Genomic DNA, 13,840 nt, shown 5'->3' on the forward strand with positions numbered 1-13,840 from the left:
GCTGGATCATGTCATAATTCTACATTTAATTTTTTGAGGAACCATCATGCTGTTTTTCACAGTGGCTGCACCATTTGACATGCCCACCAGCAGTGGACAAGGGTTCCAGTTTTTCCACATCCTTGTCAATGCTTGTTATTTTCTGTTTTTTGATAGCAGCCATCCTAATGGGTACAAGGTGGTGTTTCATGTAAAAACTTAAATGGCATTGTACTTCGTATATGCAGCTTGACTTATGTACTTAATATTAACTTTTTTACCATTTAACCATGTAAGCCCTGTAGATCTCGTTTATTTTACTATTTAAATAAAATTAAACTCATATTCATACATATTTTTGGAAAACAGCAGTTCCCTGTGCCCCATCTCCCTCCCGTGAATTCTTATTCCACTTTGAAGTCTTCTGGCTGTGTCTTCTGGCTGTGTCGTGTTTCTAAATGTAAATACTGCTGTTTCTTGATTTTTTCAGTTTGAGACCCCAGCTATTGACCCTTAGTGAGGAAGAAAGGAACTGAGCTCTCTTCACATTTTTTGAAGGCTACTCTTGACCTTTTGTTTTCTTAAGTGTAGACATTTACATAATCCCAGGAAACAAGGTTTCAGAGCTCTGATCCTTTGCATTCTGAGAACATTCGGGACTTGGCAGGTTGAATTTTCTTGTCTTTAATGAGAAGGTTATCCCTGGGATCAGGTTGGTAGAAGTGCATGGGTGTACTTTGTTTGGGTTTTTCTCTTATTAAAGAAAATGAAGCTTGGTTTTCCTAATGGAACAGGTCTGGAATCCACATCCAGTTGTGTGCCAGCCATTATGCCATGTGCTGTGCAGCCATTACCTCCTCAGCCTTCACCACTGCCCTCGGGGTGGCGCTCTTCTTATTCCCACTTCAGGGAGGAGAGGACTGAGGCCCAGAGAGGCAAAGCCACTCAGCCAAGGCCCGAGGCCTGCCAGCAGCCGTATCAGGTGGGAGGCACTCCGTTCTGACTCCCACACGCTGGCTGCAAGTGCTCCTCTGCTTCTCGGGTTCAGCCTCTGAGCCACCTGGGTGGTAGGTGAGAGCACTGCCCTCATCCTGCAGTGACAAGAAGGTAGGGGACTAGCACTGCTGAGTACCTCTGTGTGTCAGGCCCTGGGCCTACCCTGACATATTCCAAACTCTCCGGCAGTTCCCCTGGGCTGCACGGTGTGTTTGGCGGCATTTGCTGGGAGAGCTGGTGGAAAGCTAAGCTCAGGGGCTCTCACGTGGTGTGGCCCTGGCTCTGGGAATGTGCAGTTTTATACTTGATATCTTAGATCATTTTTCAGAAGTCATTGAGTGTAACAGGGTTTTCTCTCATGAGCCTCATACCCTCATGAAAGGCCAGCATGGGAAGGAGGGAAAGCACCTTCTCTCCTCCAACAAAAGGACAGCTGCCCCTACGGCAGATATTTGTACTTTGACTGGTTGTAAATACGAGTGTAGCACATTCCTTTTTGGATCTCTGTCTTACAGCAGAACCCATGAAAATAGCCTGGACTTGGGCAGTGTCCATGGCAGGACAGATGCCAGGGATGCAGGCGAGCCTGGGATAAGATGCCAGGGATGCAGGCGAGCCTGGGATAAGATGCCAGGGATGCAGGCGAGCCTGGGATAAGATGCCAGGGACGCAGGTGAGCCTGGGATAGGGTTGTGAATGCTGAGGGTGCAGGACTCCCACCCGGCTGCAGGGATGAAACAGGTGTGAAGGGCTGGGTAGGTGACCGGCAGACACAGGAATGCGTTTTCTTTTTTCTTTTATTTTGAGACAGTCTCGCTGTGTCACCCAGGTTGGAGGGCAGTGGTGCAATCGTGATTCACTGCAACCTCTGCCTCCTGGGCTCAAACAATTCTCCTGCCTCAGCCTCCTGAGTAGTTGGGACTAGAGGCATGTGTCACTATGCCCAACTAATTTTATGTAGAGAAAAGGTTTCACCATGTTGCCTGGGCTGGTCTTGAACTCCTGAGCTCAAATAGTCTGCCCACCTTGGCCTCCCAAAGTGCTGGGACTACAGATGTGAGCTGCCATACCCGTCCAGAATGCAGTTTTCTTAACCCCAGAAAAAATTTGGGGAAATGATCCTCCCAACTTACCAATCCCAAGCCTTTACATTTCTGCAATGAAAAGTTTAACATCTAGATATAGATTTGATGGTAAAATAATGAGAATCTAATTCCACCGAGACCTTTTTCTTTCTACAGTGGGGTCGAGCTGAGCCCTGGAGATCAGGCCCTTGTTGTGACACCTGGTGCTGTCTGTGTTTGCCTGCAGGTATGGAACGCCGTGGACTCCGGGCACTGCCTGCAGACCTACTCCCTGCACACAGAGGCAGTGCGGGCCGCCCGGTGGGCTCCCTGTGGCCGGCGCATCCTCAGTGGTGGCTTTGACTTCGCGCTGCACCTAACAGACCTTGAAACAGGTGCGTTTCTTGTGTCACCTCCCTGAGGTGAGCTGGCAGCTCTCTCCCTGGGGAAGGTTCTCTGGTGGGCACGCAGCCACAAGCTGTATACGCTTGCGTGGCAGAGGGAGAGGGGCCTCAGGGTGGGCTCGTGCTCGGTGAGAGGGCTTCCAGACTGCTTGCCCATTGGAACTGCGACTCCCCACAGAGGATGGGCCTCTGCCAGCCAACACAGAGGACAGAGCCCCAAGGTTGTCTCAGCCTCAAGCCATGGGGCTGGATAAAGAGGTGGCTTTTTAATCTACTTCTGACATGCAATTTGTGCTGAAATAGATTTAACTTTATCATTGTGTCCTTTGGTTGGAATCAGGTTAGAATTCCTGTCAATTCATTATCGTTGAAAGTCTGTGAGAAATGATTCCAGCTCATAAGGAAAGTCTTCAAACGAGTTCTGCTTTAATGCCCACACTGAAAAGGCACTTGGGTAGGATGGATTCGTGCCGGGTAAATCCTGAGAGGGCTCTTGACAAGCAGGGCGAGAAGGAGAGAGAAGTCAGTGGAAGGAACTTTCCTTACTCAGCGCTCCTGTGCAACAGGCACTGTCAATACCCACCGCAGCCACAGCCCCCAGGTGGGCTCTCTCCGGGGTTTACAGTGAGGACTGCCAGGGAGTGACAGAGCTGGGATTCGCACCTCTGCCATCTGCCTCCCAGTCCGAGCTCCTTCCTCTCTTTCTCCTTTCCCCTCCCCTCCCCTTTTCTTTCCTTTCCTTTCCCTCTATGTTCTCTTTCTTTTCTTTCTTTCCTTTTTAAAAATGTTTTATCCCCCTCCATGAGCAGGATCCAGCTTCTTTCAGCACCACACTACCTCCTCCCCAGAGCTCCTCGGTCTCATTTCTGCTGGGCTCCACTGCCAGGAGCCCAGGGAGAGGCCAGACTTCACACCAGTCCCTGGGGCTCCCCTTGAACCCTCAGGCCAGCATCTTGCCTGCCTAGCCCCGCAGTGGTGGTGGCTCTGGGCCCTGCCTCTCCTAGGGTCTGGCAAGAAGGAGATGATAACTTGCTGGTCCAACCCCTGCCACTCATGCCCAGCAGCCCCCAGGAGACGCAGAGGGAAAATGGAGAAGGTGGTTTGTTTCCACCTTGAGTGTGGGCGGCCTTGCAGCTCCTTGCATGCTCAGTAGGGGAGGGGACAGTACTAATGGTCACAGGGCCCCTGCCACGTGCTATAGGCTTTGCACACAGCATGTCTAATCCTCACTGCAGCTGCCAGCAGTGATTATTTCCATTTTAAAGGAGAGGAAACTGAGGCTCAGAGGGGCAAAGCAGCTTGCTCAGTGCCTCCCAGTGGTGCATAGCCAGCAGGGATTTGAAGCCATGTCTGTACAACTACAGATTCTGTGCCCTTCCCACCGTGCCGTGTGTGGCAGTTTCTTCTCACAAAGCACTTCCCTGGTCTTACTGATTCTCTTAACCCCTTGCAGAGTGGCCAGACTCAGGGAGTTTGATGCCACTTGATGATGGTGATGACTGGGCTGATGATGGCAGCACTTACTACTGAGCACTGTGTGCTGGGCATTCTTCCACAGCCTCTATACAGCATCTTATTTAGGCCCCACTCACCCTTTGAGACAGGCGCCATCAGAATCAGCTGTACACACACTGGCCAGGGGCACAAACCAGCAAGTGACAGAGCCAGGATGCACGCAGGTCTGCTAGGCCCCAAAGCCTGCTGCCTGACTGTTACACTCTGTTGTCTGCATGTCCCATAAGATATGCTTGATAGGCGAGACAGAGCTGAACAAGACCCAGTGCCTACCCTGGAGAAGCTCCTGTCTGCTGGAGAAGACAGAAGTGCAGAGTCAATCCCAAATTGCAGTGATGGAGAAAGACACAGGAATTGCAAGAACATCTAGATTGGAAAATCAAGGAAGACTTCCTGGAGGAAGTGAAACCTGAGCTGAGCCACAGATTAGGTGGACAGAGAATTAGGATGGAGGAGGTATGGTTGATGAGGAGGAAAGTAGGTTCTTGCAGATGGAACAAGGACAGAGCTGACACAGGAACAGGGTTCCATGTAGTATGCATGGAAACCAAAGCAGGATGTAATATGGGGTGCAGGGGCTGGGGCAGATGAGTCTGAGGAGTGCAGGAGGGGAAACCCCAGCCTGTGGGTCAGGTGAGCACATGTGGGTAGCACACCGCTCACAGAGTGACAAGCTCACTCACACACACCGTCGGATTACTCAAATCAAATTCATTTGATGGCATTGATGGGTTCATAGTGGCCCTTAAGCATTATTCTCTCAATCAACAGAAGTTAAACAAATGCATGCAATTGTATGTGTGGGTGGGTGTGAGTGGGGTGTCTTGACAGGGGGTTCTGAAATTTTTAGACATTCAAAGAGGGTCCTCCTGTCTGATGAGTCAGGGACTGCCATAGCAGCTGGCGGGCAGAGGCCATTGCTGAGTTTGAAGCAGGCAAGAGTCAGGGCTTGGTCTGTGCTTTGAGTAGTCCTCCTTGGTAGCTCCCACTGGTCCTGTGTGACCTGCAGCCCCTGGTGGAGAGTTGGAGGAGTGGGAGGTAGAATGCCTTGCCTGGTTGGTGATAGGACTGCGTTTGGAGAACAGCTTGTCTGGCCCCAGGCCCAATGTGCCCCTCTAGCTGTGGTGTGTTGGGTGTGTAAAGAAAAGCATGGCCCTGCCCCCAGGGCATTACCATCCAGTGGGGGAGGTGATTGAGGACTTCTTCACTCCATCCCTCTGCTAGGAATGGCGCTCACCACTGGGTTCATTCAACTGTTGAATGAACTGTTGAATTCAACTCTTGAAGGCCCCGTTTCGTTCACTCCGCAGTTGCTTATTGTGCACCCACTGCGTGTAGGACTTGGTGCTGAGGCCACAGTGGAGAGTGTGGTGGGCCCCTGGGAGAGAATGGTTGAGGGATTTGGACCTCACCCTTGGGGAAGCGCTGCACACACAGACAGGGTCTCTGCTGCTGAGGGTGGTTGGTTTCCATGTCCCTCTCCCTGGCTGGCTTGGGAGCTCCATGAGGATGGGAGCCTGTCCTGGTGGTCTTTGTGTCTCTATCCTCTGGCCAGGGCTGGCTTGGAGCAGCTGCTCAGTACCTGTGTGGGTAAGATGTGCTGAGTTTGTCCTTGCCAGGTCCTCCTATCTGGGCAGTGAAGCCCATCAGGGACTGCCAGGGCTGGTCGGGGGGCCTCCACCTATGTCTCCCCCTATGTCTCCTACCTTATCTCTGCACATCCCACCTCCAGCTTTTGGTAAGTGCTCTCTTTAGCCATTGGGGTGGGCTCTGCAGGCCCTGTGGCTTTCGTCCCGCTTTGACTTGTCTTGTCCTTTCTCTTCGCTGAGTCTGATCTCCCTTTCTACTGGATCTGCCTTTTTCCGCCCTTGGTGATTTGGCTTTTTCATTTCAATCTAATTAGGGCTCCCTGCCAGGAGAAGGCAGTGCAGGGCGTTCTCACCGCAGCGCTTTGGGAATTAGTCACTTGGTGCCCATTGTCATTAATTTGGCGCCAAGGCCATTTATCCTGGTGTCCTCAATCAATACAGTTAAAAATCTGTGGATTCTGTAATGTCAATACCTGGCCTGAAATACGGAGGGCCAGCACCATTTTATCTCATTAATTTATAGTTCTGACAGGTTGTTGGCTTATAGAACAACCATGAATCAACACTTAAATAAAACTTGCTCACAATTATTTTTGGTGCTCTTGTTTCAGTCTGTAATCTTCCTAACAAAACGTCTGTGGCACGTTAGGCTGAGGTGGCCTCAGGGAACGCTGGCCGACTCCACCAGGGCCCTGAGTGTCACCTGTCTTATGAGTCAGCTGTGCCACACGCCAGCTCAGCCAGTCTCCTCAGAATCCCCCGGAGAGCTCCCTCAGTTCTAAGCGGTCCTGTCATGTTTCTTGCAGACTCCAGGCCCTGAGGCAGGTGTCCCAGCCTGACCCTCGAGGCTGCAGCTGTAGAGGCATGCAGGGCCTCTGTCCTTTACCTTTGATGGCTGCAAAGGAGATTCCTCTTCCTGGAGCCCTGGAGCCCCGGCTGGGCAGGGAACCCTGTCCTCCTTCCTGTGCATGGGCCGGCTCTCCTGATGTGCGCTGGCTCCTCTGAGCCATCTGTGCAGTGCCACCTGGGTCTACCTCCCAGATCCTGGAGGCAGCACGCGTGAGAGGGCACATAGACAGGGTACAGGTGTTGGCTCTTCTGCCTCCCCGAACCAGGCCTCTTCACCTGTTTCTACCACACCACCTGGTGCTGGGGCTGTTGAAGGGAGCAGCTGTGATAACACATATAGGGTGCTTTGCAGAATGCCTGGCGTGTGGTAGGTCCTCAGCAAGGAACTCCTCTCCTCCTCCGTCATGGCCCATGAGGCCCTTGTTCCTGCTAAGCTGTCCAGATGGCCCTTGTTGGCAGGCCATTTCCCCACATGGGGCCACTTTTCGATCATCATCCAGAGGCCCCTGCTGGTCCCCTCAGTGAGCTTACAGATGTGCTGTTGGTCCCCTGCGTGGGTCTTGGGGGCAGACTGGGAGGAGGCCTTGGGCCATCATGGGTTCTCCCAGCATCTCCTCCACATTCCCCTTCCTCCTGGTAATGGGACAACACGCACTCTTTATTAGGGCTCTCGAGTGGGTATACAGACCCCCAGCCTGCCCGGCCTGACCCTCTCCAGAGCCCCAGGCACTCATGGCTGCAGGAGGCCTATGGCCCTCTTCCTTCAGATGCCCACAGCCTGCAGCTCTGCTGTCCCCAGCTTTTGGCTGGCTCCTCCTGCCCTGGGTGTCCCAGTGTCTTTTGGTGGGAGTCATGTTGTGTGGAAGTGAGCAGCCAACTGGGACTGGGCTCATAAATGACCATTTCTCCTTGCTTTCCAAGAGGTGTCTTCTTGTCTCTCCCTTGTTTTCAATCTATGACTGGGGCTTCCATTCACAGAAATGCTACAAGGAAAAAGAGAATGACAGGTTATCGAGCCCTTGCTGTGGGCTGGGCCCTGGGCTATGTGCCCTGGGTTCCAGCACGCTGCCTGGCCTGTGTGGAGGTGAAATGAGTGAGTGGATGGTAGACTCTTTGCTTATGTGACTCCTCCTGTGAGAGGAGTGTTTTTAATCCCATTTCATGGACCCAGAAACTGAGGCTTAGCATGGTCAGTGACTTTCTTGAGGTGACAGAGGTGGGATCCAGTGCTGGCATGTGACTAGTAGAGCTCCTGCTGTTGAGGTATGGTGTGGCATGCCCTCCCCACGTCTGTTTCCCTGCTGTGAACAAACAGGGAAACAATGGGGAACCCAACTTAACCTGACTCCTGGGGAGCCTGCTGGGCAGCAGCTGGCCACCTGCAGAGGATAACATGGGGCCTCTGGGAAGAAGGAGTGCTCCAGACTCATGGGGACTGATCCCTCTGATTAAGTGGGCCACTGAGGGAAAGATGCCTCTTCAGTGATGGATGGCCACGCTCCAATGACGACTTTAGACCACTTGGCATGGGAAGGGTGAGAAGTGTCCAAATGAAAACCATGGCAAAGAGCCCCAAGAGCTCCTGGGCTTTGGAGAAGGGGCCACAGAAGGAGGCTCCTTGTTGTGCTAAGCCTTTGAGGTGGTGCTGGCTCCTGCCGGTCCTTGGAAGAAGTGCCGTGGAGGGGCCTGGGCTTCTCCGTTCTTTGGCTTTCTGGCACTGTGGCTGGAGTTTCGCTAGCGTAGCTTAGGAGGACTTGATTAGGTATCCCTCAGGTGCCCACAGACCCAAAGGAAGTAGAAGAAAGCTTGTGGGCACATTTACAAAGCATCTGATACTTACATGTACATGCTCCTTGAGTCCTAGGGACTGTTGCCACTGATCCAGAAGTGAAGGCTCAGAGGGGCTCCACAGCCTAGCGAGGTCTGAGCTGATGAGGGTTCCCTGGCTGCCGCCCTTTATGTGCCTCCTTGTCCAGTTAGCAGCCGCCTACTTTCTTGCCCACTTGTGAGTGGGTCTATTTTCCAAGGCCAGTCTCTGTTGCCACGAATATCCTTCGTTTCTCACTCTGAAAGTGCTTCTCCTCTGGCTCAATCTTGTTTTCTCTTTCCTTACTTCTTTGGAGTGAGAAGCTGACCCTAGTTACGGATATTAAATCAAATGTTATTAAACTTCATTACAACACCATGCCAGCCCTTAACTGCCACTTGGAAAAGTGCCTAGAGATCCTTCACATCTCCACAAACACAGCTCACGCCAGCCCTCTAGGCAAAGAAAAGATGGTTTCTAATTCAAATTCTTGTTTTGTTCATGACCGTGACTGCACAGTAGTGATGTCTGGCGTGTGTGTGTTTGGTTGCAGCTGCATCACAGTTTGGTGCCCTTGTTAGGTAAGGCTGCCATTATTGACTGACTCTGGAGCCCAAACGTGTTTACGGCATGTCTGCTATTGGAATGGCGAGTTCCGAGTTTCAGAAAACCAACTTACTAGTAAAGCACTGGGATACACCTTGTTTGAAAGTTGAGAACTCTTATTATTATTTTTTAAATTTTGGAACATTCGGTCTTGTCCAGAGAATTAAAAGCAGTGGCTGACAATGGTCTGGGCAATGATTTTTTGGATAGGACTTAAAGCACTGGCAGCAAAAGCAAATATAGGCAAAAGAATTGCATCAAACTAAAAAGCTTCTGCACAGCAAAGGAAACAGTTAACAGAGTGAAGAGACAGCCCGTGGATTGGAAGAGAAAGTTTGCAAATCATACATCTTGTGAGGGGCTAATATGGAAAATGCATGAGGAACTTAACTCAACAGCAAGAAGCCAAATAACCTGATTTTTAAAATGAGCAAAGGATCTGAACAGACTTTTCTCAAAAGAAGAGATATGAATGGCCAACAGATATTAGAAAAAATGCTCAACATCTGTAATCATGGGGAAATGCAAATTAAAACCACAATGAGATATCACCTCAAACCTGTTGGAATGCCTATTTTCAAAAAGACAAATGATAGCAAGTATTGGTGAGGATGTGGAGAAAAGGGAATCCTTGTACAATGTAAATGAGTACAGCTATTTTGGAAAATAGTGTGGAGGTTCTTCAAAAGACTAAAAATAGAATTACCGTATGATCCTGCAATCCCACTTCTGGGTGTATCTCCAAAGGAATTGAAATCGGTGTGTGGAAGGGATCTCTGCACCCCCGTATTCATTGCAGCACTGTTCACAGTAGCCAAGATATGGAAGCCACCTCGGTGTCCATCAGCAGATGAGTGGATAAAGAAAATGCGGTGAATATTCACAATGGAATACTCTACAGCCTTAAAAAAGAAGAATATTCTGTCATTTTTGACAACATGGGTGAACCTGGAGGACATTACAATAAGTGGGATAAGCGAAGGCACAGAAAGACAAATACTGCATGATCTCACTTATATGTGGAAGCTAAAAAAGTTGATCTCGTAGAAGCGTTGAGTAGAAAGGTGTTACCAGGGGTTTGGGGGTAGGGGTGGATATGGAAAGTGGAGATGTTGATGAAAGGGTATAAAGTTTCAGTTAGAATGAAGGAATAAGTTTTGGTGATCTATTGCACTGCATGATGACCACAGTTAATAATGTGTATTTCATAACTGCTAAAAGAATGCACTTTTAACATTCTGTCCACAAAAAATAAATTAGTGAGGTGATAGATATGTTAATTATCTTGATTAAATCTTTCTACAATGTATATACAGATCAAAACATCACATTGTACCCCCAAATATATATATATATAAAATTATTTATCAATTAAAATTAATTTAAAATGAAACAAAAAAGAATGGGAAGGAAAGAGCTGGTGTAAGTATGTTATTAGAAGACAAATTTTAAAAAATGACTGCAACTACTACTATTTCTTCTGTTACTACTATTATTACAATGCTACAGCTACTGTTTATTGGGCCCTATCAGTTGTCTGGGGCTTAGCTCTCCTACATACATTATTGCTAATTCTCACAACCACCTTTTGTGGTCCTGAGTCTACAGATGAGGATACCAGGGCTGGAGAGGATTGCTGGCCGATGCAGGGCCACAGCTGATGGGGAATGTTCAGATGCAGGCCCAGCTGGCTCTCAGGCCAGACCCTTCCCAGGCCTTTGCCCGGATTGCTAAGATGGCCCCTGTTTCTGATGCATAAAGTTTGATTTGAAAGTTAGTAAGTTTCTTTTCTCGTTAACTTTGAGTCAGGATGGCTAAATTTATAGCTGGCTGAATACTTCCCAGAGGATGAGTGTAACGATATTGATTTTAGCGAAGTGAGTCATATGCCTACTGCCTGGAAACACAAGCTCAATTACCACAAGCCAACAGCATAAGCTTTCCCTTGTCAACATTTTTCCTACATGTTCATGAGTCTGTGGATGTGAACAAAGCACTAGGAGAAGCAAAGGTCACGAATAACTGGCGGCGATGCAAGGTAGGGTGCCGAGAGCTGGCCTTGAGATTAGACAGGGCCAGTCTCCGTCTCAGTGTGGCTGACTCATGTGGCTCTGAGCGAGTCTCTCACCTCGCTGAGCTTCCATTTCCCTGGCTGTGAGAGATGGGTTAATTACACCTACCACCCAGGGTGCCGTGTGATGCGTGCAAGCTCCAGACAGGCCTGGAGGTAACAGGCTCCTGATAAATGTTGTTCCCCTTCCTTGACTGTGAACTGCTTTGCCAGGGCTGCCTCTGAGCTCCCTGGAGAGGGGGGCATGAGCTTCTCTTTTCTCTCCTGGAGACCCATACTTGGGTTTCATGTGGCCTGGACGAAATACCTATTATGTGCCAGGAACTAGGCTGGGAGTCAGTCATGCTGAATGGAAGAGGAAGGCCCTCACAGGCCTGGAGCCCTGCATGATGATAGGATTCCTAGTATAGACGTTTGCAACTTCTATGTTAACTAAGAACTTCTTAGTTAGCAAGATGGACAGGTGGTGCTGCCCCGGCCACATGGTTGGTCACTTTGGGAAGCTGGATATCTCCACCTGAGAAAGGAAGAGGGGCAGCTTGGAGGAGCCACTATTCCAGAGTTCCCAGATGCCTTATCACAGTCATACGGGGGTGGAAGCACTGGTCATAGAGTCAGTAGAACAAATGGAATTTCTGCATTGTGTTTTAAACTTGTTTTTGCTTTAACAATTTTTTTATTTGTATCATTATTGATTCAAGGAGAAAATAAGTGATTTTTCCTAGCTCCAAGAAGATCCAAACAGTTTTTACACTGGTTTAGCTCATTATAATGAGATCAATAAAGTCAGTGCTAGTGGATTAAATATTTTAAAACTCAGTTTCCTATAATAAGCATACAGTGAATAAACAGAATTTTCTATAACAAACAGGTAAACAAGCAAGATGGTCTTAAGGTTAAAGGTTATATAACAGCTAACCATTGCGCTGAAAGTAACATTGCCCAGGAGAACAAGCTCCTTGATTTATGAAAAGGTAGAGAGGAAGAGCCCGTCTGACAAGTTAAGACCTTCTCCTCTGGCACAGCTAGTGTTCATGTTCAAGATATTTCACTGATGAATATTTTCCAGACTTTACCCATATCTCTTTAACAAATGTAAAGGGCAGCCCAGGGCGTTGTATTTTCAAAGCCTCATGAGAAAAGCTGAAAAAGCATTAATCTGTGGAGGTTATTGCTATTTAAAAACCTGTATCCCAGCCGGGCGCCGTGGCTCACGCCTGAAATCCCAGCAATTTGGGAGGCCGAGGTGGGTGGATCACAAGGTCAGGAGATTGAGACCATCCTGGCTAACACGGTGAAACCCCATCTCTACTAAAAATACAAAAAAATTAGCTGGGTGTGGTAGCAGGCACCTGTAGTCCCAGCTACTAGGGAGGCTGAGGCAGGAGAATGGCGTGAATCTGGGAGACAGAGCTTGCAGTGAGCCGGATAGCACCACTGCACTCCAGCCTGGGCGACAGAGCGAGACTCTGTCTCAAAAAAACAAAACAAAACAAAACAAAAACAAACAAAAAAACCTGTATCCCTTGGTTTTAGTTTGTAAATGAACCAATTGTGAATTCAATAATTTGGGGTTTAATTTTGTAAACTATAATAGCTCCCTTTTGTTGATTGCTGTTTGCCATGCTCTTTGGAAGGCTTCATGCACCGCGTTACATTTAGCTCTCATGACGACCTTACATTTGTAAGAGTGTGAGACAGAGCAGTGCAAGGTCCTGCCCAAGGCCCCTCCACTGGAAGTGACAGAGCTGGGATGGGATCTGGGTCTGCGTGGCTCTGAACTCCTCAGCTATACCATCTCCTGCTTCCAACATTGTGCCAGATAATGATGGCTATGGCCCTAATTTCTGAAACAAAGTCTTATTTGAGAACTTCTTAGTTAGCGAGATTTCTACCTTAGTCTTTTCACTAGGTATCCAGAAACTTACTAAAAAATTTAAAAATCTTGTAGTTTTGAACCCTTTTAACAAAGAAAAGCAGTAAGGGCCTAGTTATTATAAGTACAAATAGGAAAAATGTATAAACTACAGCTTATCTTCTAAATGGAAATACTTAAAAGACAGATTTTCAATCTCTTTAGGGGGTTGAGGAAAAAATAACATTCAGATTTTTTGTTTGTTTGTTTTAGCAGAAAAAGTTCGATCATCGTCTTTTAGCAATTCAGCTTTCACATTTTCTCTCATCTTTCTTCCCCATTGTTGGCAAGACTGTATCACTGCACTTTTGAAAAAAACATATGGATAATTCACTGCCATTTCTGAAATTAAGCATATGGTTATATGCTATGGTCTAAAAAATAAGGAACATTTTTTCTCCAGGCAGAGAGAGTTTGTGTTTCCTTTTGGATTTAAGGATTGGCAATGAATTCCAAGTGAGCAAGAAGCCGGCCACTGAATGTTCTCAGCAATAAGCGCAGTTGTCCTTGTGGGGAGAAAGAGTTTGGCAGTCCTGGGCCTTCTCGGTGGTGTGGGGACTGCAGTGGTATCCGTGTCCTCCTTTTCTGTCTAGGGGTTGTGATGGTGGTCCCTGCCTGCAGTCTCCAGATGACCCCCAGCCGCTTGGCTGAAGCGAGTGTCCTGGGGCCTCTGTGCTGCCACATTGCTGCTCTGAGTCCCTGGCATAGGCACATGGAGACCAAGGGGACAGCCCTCTGCCTGTGCTCCCTGAGCAGGGGGACTTGCTAGTTGGTCATATCACGGTTGGTTTCTGATCACCAATTGTAGCTTAAAAGGTGGGGTTTGTCATGCTCTGTAGAAGGCTTTATGTACCACCTTGAGTTCCAGGAAAGGAAAAGAAGAGTACATTTTTTTTTTTTAGGAATACCAGATTTCCAATTAGATCAATTCACCAAGAAGCAGTTTTTTGGTTTACTTGAGAGAGTCGTTTGTCTGCTGATCTAATGAGAGGGACATAGCACAAAGACCATCATCTTACAAGTCTGCTCATCTCCTTGATGACTT

The 13,840-nt window shown here is 48.4% G+C and overlaps 1 protein-coding gene across 7 annotated transcripts in view, besides 1 other annotated feature; it reads left to right on the forward strand.

Annotated features, from left to right (window-relative positions):
• The window catches only part of WDR25 (WD repeat domain 25), a 153,819-nt gene that overhangs the window by 89,250 nt on the left and 50,729 nt on the right, over positions 1-13,840 (forward strand). For all 7 annotated transcript variants that reach the window (NM_001350947.2, NM_024515.6, NM_001350948.2 and 4 more), the window contains one exon: positions 2,287-2,434. In NM_001350947.2, the coding sequence (NP_001337876.1) occupies positions 2,287-2,434 (148 nt within the window). The remainder of the gene's footprint in view (positions 1-2,286; positions 2,435-13,840) is intronic.
• Positions 243-1,148: an enhancer, noted in NCBI's record as "OCT4-NANOG-H3K27ac-H3K4me1 hESC enhancer chr14:100932314-100933219 (GRCh37/hg19 assembly coordinates)". NCBI's record gives its function as "activates a minimal SCP1, AML or CMV promoter by ChIP-STARR-seq in naive H9 embryonic stem cells {active_cell/tissue: H9 hESC(naive)}" and the evidence as "EXISTENCE:reporter gene assay evidence [ECO:0000049][PMID:30033119]".

Source organism: Homo sapiens, chromosome 14, assembly GCF_000001405.40.
Source record: "Homo sapiens chromosome 14, GRCh38.p14 Primary Assembly".
Lineage (NCBI taxonomy): Eukaryota > Metazoa > Chordata > Mammalia > Primates > Hominidae > Homo > Homo sapiens.